The sequence below is a fragment of the Homo sapiens genome, chromosome 7 (genome assembly GCF_000001405.40).
Source record: "Homo sapiens chromosome 7, GRCh38.p14 Primary Assembly".
In the NCBI taxonomy this organism is placed as follows: domain Eukaryota; kingdom Metazoa; phylum Chordata; class Mammalia; order Primates; family Hominidae; genus Homo; species Homo sapiens.
In genome coordinates, this window is record NC_000007.14 from 84,696,734 (window position 1) to 84,704,907 (window position 8,174).

Below are 8,174 nucleotides of genomic sequence, written 5' to 3' on the forward strand. Positions count from 1 at the left end.
CCCTTCTTCCCTGCTCCCTATTAGTCCCCAGTTTCTATTTTTTCATAGTCTGGCATGTGGACACTCACAGATGGTCATAGCTCTGAGGTCAGGGCACATGCAGGGTTGCGAGACATGGTGGCTCCTTTTTTGAAGGGGCAGAAGAGTAGCTACTATGTGAGGTAGAAGAGTGTATAGCTATGTCTTGTACTTGAGTTCCTCCATAGGAATGGCTATTGGTCACCTCAGTGGCAAGCAATGCTGGTATCCTCTATGAAAACAGGCTACTTGGGACTGCAATGTTTCCCAAGTATGGTTAATATTGATAACCTTCACCTTTCTTCTTTGCTCCTTGCTATCTCCTGCTCTCTGAGGTATGCCAATCTTACCAAGAACCCTACTATGTAGATTTTATCAATATGCTTGCTCTATTGTGTTGTTTCAGATTCCTTACGGACCTTTGAGCCCTCTTTGAGATATTCTGTTTTGTGAATTGCTGTATGTATTTGCTTGCAGGGGGATGAGGCTGGTATATTCTATTCCACTATCTTGGTGACATCAGAGTCAGACCCTTTTAAATAAATGGGCATTATACTCATCAGTTTGCTCAGAAAACATCCTGACTAAAAGGAGAATAGATTCTCATTAACCTAATTGCCATGAAAAGTAACAAAACTTAGAGTTTCTGAATTGTGTGGGAATCAGTGAGAATCTGATATTATTTAAAATGTTTTATTTTACAAAAACAGAGCTTCTGAATTGTTAATAAAAGTGTGATAAGGCAGACAAAATTATTTTTCATAGAACCAGAAAATAGAACACTAAATCAAAGTCAACATGGCTACAAGGAACTAACTATAATAAATTCCATTTATGAGTTAATTCATACTATGTAATTAATTCTTGTTCTGAATCATCTTGGTTCAATAGTTTGTTTTTATAAAAGCTGTCTGCTTCTAGATAAAAAGGAGCCTTGAAATTCTGACTCAGTCCACTGGCGTAATGTGAAAGTCATCTAAGTGTTGCAAGCTCAGAAACCTGTACCCACGGAGACCCACTGAAGCTTATACCTAAACACATACTTTTATAGTACCAAAGTTTAAATCACCTACTATAGTCCCTTCCCATGAGGATCTGACACTGTCATTTTTTTTTTTTTTTGTGAGAGACACAAACTGTTGTGTAGCATATATACAGAACTTTCAGGCAAGTATCAGAGTTAAATTAAAACCATCTGTAGATAACAAGAATTTAATGACTATACTAATTTATTACTGTTAATTTTAAAATATGGAATGCCTGATGAGCGATCATAATAAGAATAATGCAATCAACAAGAAAATTTGTTTTCTTCTGTGGCATGCACAACAAAGATACTAAAGCCATTCCAAAAAAAATTAGACAAAGTGTCTCTAAGAATAATGATCAAGTATATTTTCAAAGACCTCATTGAATTTTATATCTGATGTATTAAAATTGATGAGTATAACTTTGATGGAAAAACTATATATTGAGATATGAAATATTCTGAAACATAACTTTTAAATATATCAAGAGTATCAGAGAGAGACTCAGTAAGGCTAGAGTAGGCCTAGCTACCTGTATTTTTATAAAACTTCATGGGTAAGTCTGATGCACATCCCCAGTGACCTAGAAGGTGCAAAATTCAAATGGAAGAAGTTGAGTTGTGGTTAGTAAATATTTTGTATAACTGACATTTTGATTGATAACACTGTACTATTATTTCTAATATAATTTAACAAAGCACTGCCAGGACTCTAATAAATACAGGAAAACAACGGACTATCTTGGACTTAGTTTTGATCAGTGTGTTATCTGTGGATAAATACACATGATGGAGTGCATGGGCATTTAAATATCTCTAGAAAGTTCTCAAAAAACATACAATTTCAAAAGTATTCATAGTAACAATATTTTACCTATATACATTTGACCTAAAGCCAAAAATATTTATTAATAATATTTTACCTATGTAAACTTAACCTAAAGCAGGCTGACTGTCTTCATATTTGGGAACTCTTCCATGGAAACCCTTAAAATGATAATATATCAAACACCCTAATTATTTCAACTATGTCTCTTTCTATAATATGAAAGAATAAAATACTTTATGATTTTCCTGTTTTAAGCATGAAACATATATTTAAAATTTTATTTTACTTTTAAAAAATTTAGGATCCAATTTTGGAAGGCAAAATGAAGTTTTCAGAGTGTATTTAAACTCAATAAAGATAAAATATCAAGTGCCAGAAAAACAATGCTTGTTATGTATTTAAGTAAATGAAAATAAAATAGTTTAAAATAAACACATAAGTTATCAGGATTGTAAAGAAATTAGCTATTTTATAAATGAAGGAGGAATATTTGTTCTCTTAAAAAAAATGAATGTAATAAAATCAACAAAGACTGCATAAAATTGCCCTGGTAAACCACAGAACCTTTGCTATCTAGGGTTACATATGACATAAGGAAAAGCCTTTTATATTATAAGCAAACTCACTAATTACTAAACCAAAGGAAAAAAATCAAAATCAAGCAAATTTTTCTAAGATTTTAACCTATTTTATAGATTACTTTAAAACTCCTAATAAAAAGCTAAATAAAATTTACTAAATAAATCATTTAAAATAGATAATGTATTTATTATTTAATAGAAGAGACCTGGCCCTGACAAGCAGCATGCTGTTTCTTCTCCCAGAATTTATTTTTTACAATAATGTGAAAATTATATGTACCTCAGAGATGAAAGATTACATTCAAGAATTAAATATGGTCAGCTCTGAAAATTGTTGGATGAATGGGTAATTATTGCTATAATTAACAATGTGATTCAATAACATAACTATTTTGTATAGCTATAAATAGTTTTTATTTACTTATGTATTGATTTACTGAATAATAGATGGCTTTAAAAAGTCAATTCACTGAAGGAAAACAGATATAGTTTTACCTGTAAAGTTCCTATCTTCACAAAATCTGCCCAAGTTAAATCACAACTACTGAGCCATATCCTACATTCTTCAAATTGATGGGGCTGGGTGCAGAGGCTCATGCCTGCAATCCCAGCACTTTGGGAGTCTGAGGTGAAAGGATCACTTGAGGCCAGGAGTTGGAGACCAGCCTGGACAAGAAAGTGAGACTCAGTCTCTACAAAAAATAAGTAAAAAAGCCACTAATCATACCACTGTACTCCAGCCTGGGAAACAGAGCAACACTCTGTCTATTAAAAAAATAAACAAACAAACAAACAAAACTAAAATTAATGGCATAGGAACGACATGGAAGATTATATTACCTCATTTTCATTAGTCATTGTGTAACTTTTTTTTAGAATGTTCAAATTTATTCATTTATATTGACAGATAAAATTGTACTCATTTTGTAGAGCATAATGTTCTGAAGTATATATGCATTGTGGAATAGCTAAATCTAGCTAATTAACATATGCATTACCTTACATAATTATCATTTTGTGGTGAGGACACTTAGTATCCACTGTCTTATTATTTTTCAAGAATACAGTATATCATTGGGTACCTTCTTTGTAGTACAACATAATACTTTTCTGATTTTAAAATACCAAGAGGATGTTAGTTTGCAGTCCTTGTTTTCTTATTTCTTTCATTTTCTAAGGTGATTGAAGTAAAAGATAAAGGGATTATCTTCTAAACAGAATCAATTCACCCATTTATTTGGAAGATAGAATATAAAAATGCAATAACTGTTCAATCAGTGTAAGCCTTAAAAAAAAAACCTCAGAATTTTAAAAGACCTTGAGATTACTGGATTTATTGACTTTCAATTATACCTGGAGGATGAGCAAATAGACGATCATCAACCATTACTTTCCAATATGTTAATAAGCACAATTATTGATTTTTGAAACATGTTTTCATCACAGTGTAGAGGTGTAGAGCACCATACATTTTTCCAGCTTTGTTAAAGTATGACTGACAAGTCAAAATTGTAAATATTTAAGGTATACAATGTGATGTTTTGATATAAGTGTACATTGCGAAATGAATACCACAATCAAGCTAATTAACATATCCATCACCTCACATAGTTACTTTTTAATTTTTTAGCTGAGAACATTTTAGACCTACTCTCTCGGCAAATCCCCAAGTAAAAAATACACTACTATTAGCTATAGTCACCATGCTATACATTACATCTCCAGAATTTATTCATACTGCATAATTGAAACTTTATATGCTTTGACCAACATCATGCATTTTTGATTATATGATTCATAACTAAAACTGGATATTTTGGAAACTATGTCTTTCTTGAAACATGACTCTGAACAAAGCCTTAAATTGAAAGCAATTGTGTCTTTGATGTTTATGAATTCACACCTTTTTTATTCAATAATTTGTTCATCACTGTTTTTTAAATTTTGTATTTCATAAACAATAATTTTCATAGAGGGTCTGTGACTCAGGTTGTCTGAATCACAGTGCAGCTGTGTGAGGACAGAGACATAAGCACTATTGTCAGATTATATAGGAAACATATTGAACTCTAGTGTGATTATCCAAAAATTTAGACAGAAACCACTGAACAAGAAACACTTTGAATTTTGATTAAAATTTATATCCAGGAATGTTTATGATTTTGTGTCAGTCTATCTTTACAGTGTAAGGAAATATTAGAATTGTTTAATGAAATAAGAAATAAGAAAATGTAATTACCATAAACAAAAACATAAAGCAGACAGCACAGTGCCCGGCCAAAAGCGAGTGTTTAAGGATTGATAGAGGTATTATTGTTATCCCCTTCAATTAATGTCCTAAAAATGCCTGAGTAGTTGAATCCTATGTAGACCAAGGAAGAAGACGGGAAACGTATACCATGGCAACAGTTCTGTGTTGAATTTGGATGCCTCTTCACACTTGAAATGCTTGGTGGAAAGTATGACTCATGACACGCTAATTTGTATGGCTCATAAAGCAGATTATACCCCCCCAAAATAAAAACTTCCTTTTAACTAATATGTGATGAAATATGTTCAAGAAATTTGAAAAAAAAAAAGCCATATTAATTAAATCTAAAGGTAGGATTTTGTAATGTATGAACCAAAAAGTAAAAACTGTGAGGCAGAGAAATGTACCTTTCATTAATGTTTTAGTCAAGGTTCTTTAGAAAGACAGAAACAATAATATACATACATGTAGGGAGAGAAAAATAAATATATGAGAAGGAAATTCTTAAGGGAACTAGTTCACTTGATTACGGAGATTAAGTCTCGTAACACGTCATTTACAGCTGAGAACCAGGGAAGCCAGTAGCATGACTCAGACCAAGTCCTCAAGTCCTAGGGCATGGAGGCTGCTGGTCAAAGTCCCAGAGTCCAAAAGCCAAACAATCTGGAAATCTGATATCCGAGGGCAGAAGAAATGGGTCCCAGCTTCAAAAGAAACAGAGCAATAACTCACCCTTCATTTGCCCTTTTGTTCATCCAGACTTGATTGCTTAGTGCCTGCCCAGACTGAGGGTGGATCCTACTCAGCCAGGCTTAAGTGCCAGTTTCCTCCAGAAACACCCTCATAGACATACTTGGGGCAACCTAATTATTTTAATCAAATGCCAAGTCACCTGGGTTTCCTTTTCAACAGAGAGGCACAGGTTCAGTGCCTACTGAGGCATGGAGAATAATTAATGCAATTATTGAGAATAAATAATGCTTCACCAGCTACCTGCTTATCCCTTAATTCAGTCAAATTGACACCCAAAATTAACCATTACAATGAACAAATATTAATAATGGTTTACATGTCTAAGTATCTACCACTTAGTAACATTATGCTGTGCTAAGGTCTTCAAACATCCAAATGTAGGTAGATTTGAAAAAAACAAAAATTAATAATTATTTAATAGAATATAAATATACTGTAGACTAATAAAATGTAAATTTTTGACTCTTTATACAATTGTATAAAGTGCTTAATAGCAATTATGTGTTTTCATTCCTCCAAATTATAATGATTTTTATCCCCTCTTAGAGAAATATCAACATTTACCCTCAATCTTGTTGATATACTTTTCTATATTCCAAATGTTATTGCTGCAATATTATCATATATAACTTTAATGATTACTGAAGTGGATAATTAAGATAAAAAAATACAATTAATTTCCCATATGTGTGATAATTATTTATGGCTAAATATTGTTGGTTCATTTGAAATGTTATCAATCTAGGCAGAGGGAACTAAGGATTTCCTCTAATAGGTTCTACTAATTTCCACAAAATATTTTCACCACATTCAAAGCAATTCTGGAAGGAGGAAGCAGTCCTGTTCACTGATGATAAATAACTCAAGTAATTATCAAATGATTGTGTGGCAAGCCCAAACTATATTTTGCAAAGTATTTAGTTTCCTCTTTTATGCATATATTTATAGCTATAAATACTTTAAAGAGAGTTTATCCATATGTTTCTGATTCATTTACATTTAACTCATCAAAATGTTGTTTTAAAGAGCATACAAAATTAAGTAGATTTTTAAGTCTACATTTATTTTTGAGAACTCGGAAGACAGAGTTTGCTAGCTATAAATTAATTCAAGAAAATATAAATATTTTAGGCTTGGCATAAGACATTTTCTCTTCTTGGAATTTCCAATAATTAGATAAATTATTTTTCCTTTTGTTCTTGAAAGCTAACCCACTGAATTCTTTCAGAAGGCTGAAATTAGACTGCGCTTCATAAGAAATCTCAAACCTGGAAGGATTTAGGCTGATCCCAAAGTAGGTATAATTAAGAAATAAAGGTATTAATTTCCATGGTGGATTTAAGAGTATACTACCTTCATTATTATTATTTTTAGTTTTAAACCTCTTCTTTATTTACATAGAAAATAACAAGTACAATAAAAACACAGTTATGTGTTCTTAAGACTTGGCTAATTTGTAAATTTTCTTCTCCATGTTTTAATTCTTAGAAGGAGGTTAGCTCCTACTCTATTTGCTGTTACAATTTTATACAAGAATATATGGACCCCACTTAAGAACTTTATTATAAACTTTCTTTCTTATTGAAATGATAAATTTTGTGCTCTAAGTATATTGTAATTTTCTGAGGAACAAAATATGGAAATTAGATCTGAAATGCCTATGAAATTGGAATTATTAGAAAGAGAATTATCTACAAATAATTCAAATTTTTTCACTTGCCTTTCTTGGTAAATGAATATAAAATGCATTAATATTGTTAGGTTTCCTTTTGAGTTTAAATATTAAATATACAATTATAAAGACAGTGTTCAGCAGTGTAACTATTATCATTATGGCTTTTCAAATTTTTAGTGGTATCAGTATTATTTGATTACCAATTAAAATTATTCTATAGCACTTAAAGAAAAAAAATTCTGAAGAAGCTTATATATGGAATATATAAGGTTAAAAACATACCAGTTACTGAGTACAGGTAATAAGTATCATCAATGGCATTGTCATCAATCATAATTATTCATTACATTTTTGATTGGCTTTAATATTTAATATGAATTTTATCATAGTTTATTCCATTGCTATCATATTTATTAGTTATTATTACATAGAATGTTTAATAAAGAACAGCAGTCATGAAATTCATTTTCAATTGGTAGAAGAAAATACATTTGTTATCTATCTGTATTGAGTTAGAATTTAGATAATATATCATTAATGTTGTCAAATTCATTGGGATTCTGGTTTCGTCTGTGTTAGTTTCCTTGGCCTGGCTTAACGAATTACCACAAACACAATGTCTTAAACAACAGAAAGGTATTATCTGTCCAAAAGTCTGAAATCATGTTGTCAGCAGGGCCATGCTCCCTCCAGAGGCATTAGAGGAGAATCCTTCCCTGCCTCTTCCAGCTTCTAGTGTCTCCAAGTGCTCCTTGGCTTGGCTTTTCATGACTCGGATCTCTGCCTTGGTCTTAGCATAGCCTTCTTCCCCGTGTGTCCTCCTTTTCTGTCTGTCTAATCTCCCTCTGCTTCATTCTCATAAGAATAGCTGTCATTGGTTTTAGGGAACACCCAGGTAATCCAGTATGATTTAATTTGATATCACTAAGTTAATTGTATCTGTAAAGACCCCCCCACCCCCGACCCCAGTAAGGTCTTCACAGACTCTAGGAGTGAGGTCATGAACATATCTTTTCAAGGAGACACTATTCAACTCACTA

At 31.8% G+C, this 8,174-nt stretch overlaps 2 annotated features.

Annotated features, from left to right (window-relative positions):
• Positions 559-728: an enhancer, noted in NCBI's record as "experimental_100503 CRE fragment used in MPRA reporter constructs". NCBI's record gives its function as "activates a minimal promoter by MPRAs in K562 erythroleukemia cells, with activity observed for the non-introgressed 7:84326693 variant allele {active_cell/tissue: K562}" and the evidence as "EXISTENCE:reporter gene assay evidence [ECO:0000049][PMID:34662402]".
• Positions 980-1,149: an enhancer, noted in NCBI's record as "experimental_100510 CRE fragment used in MPRA reporter constructs". NCBI's record gives its function as "activates a minimal promoter by MPRAs in K562 erythroleukemia cells, with activity observed for the introgressed 7:84327114 variant allele {active_cell/tissue: K562}" and the evidence as "EXISTENCE:reporter gene assay evidence [ECO:0000049][PMID:34662402]".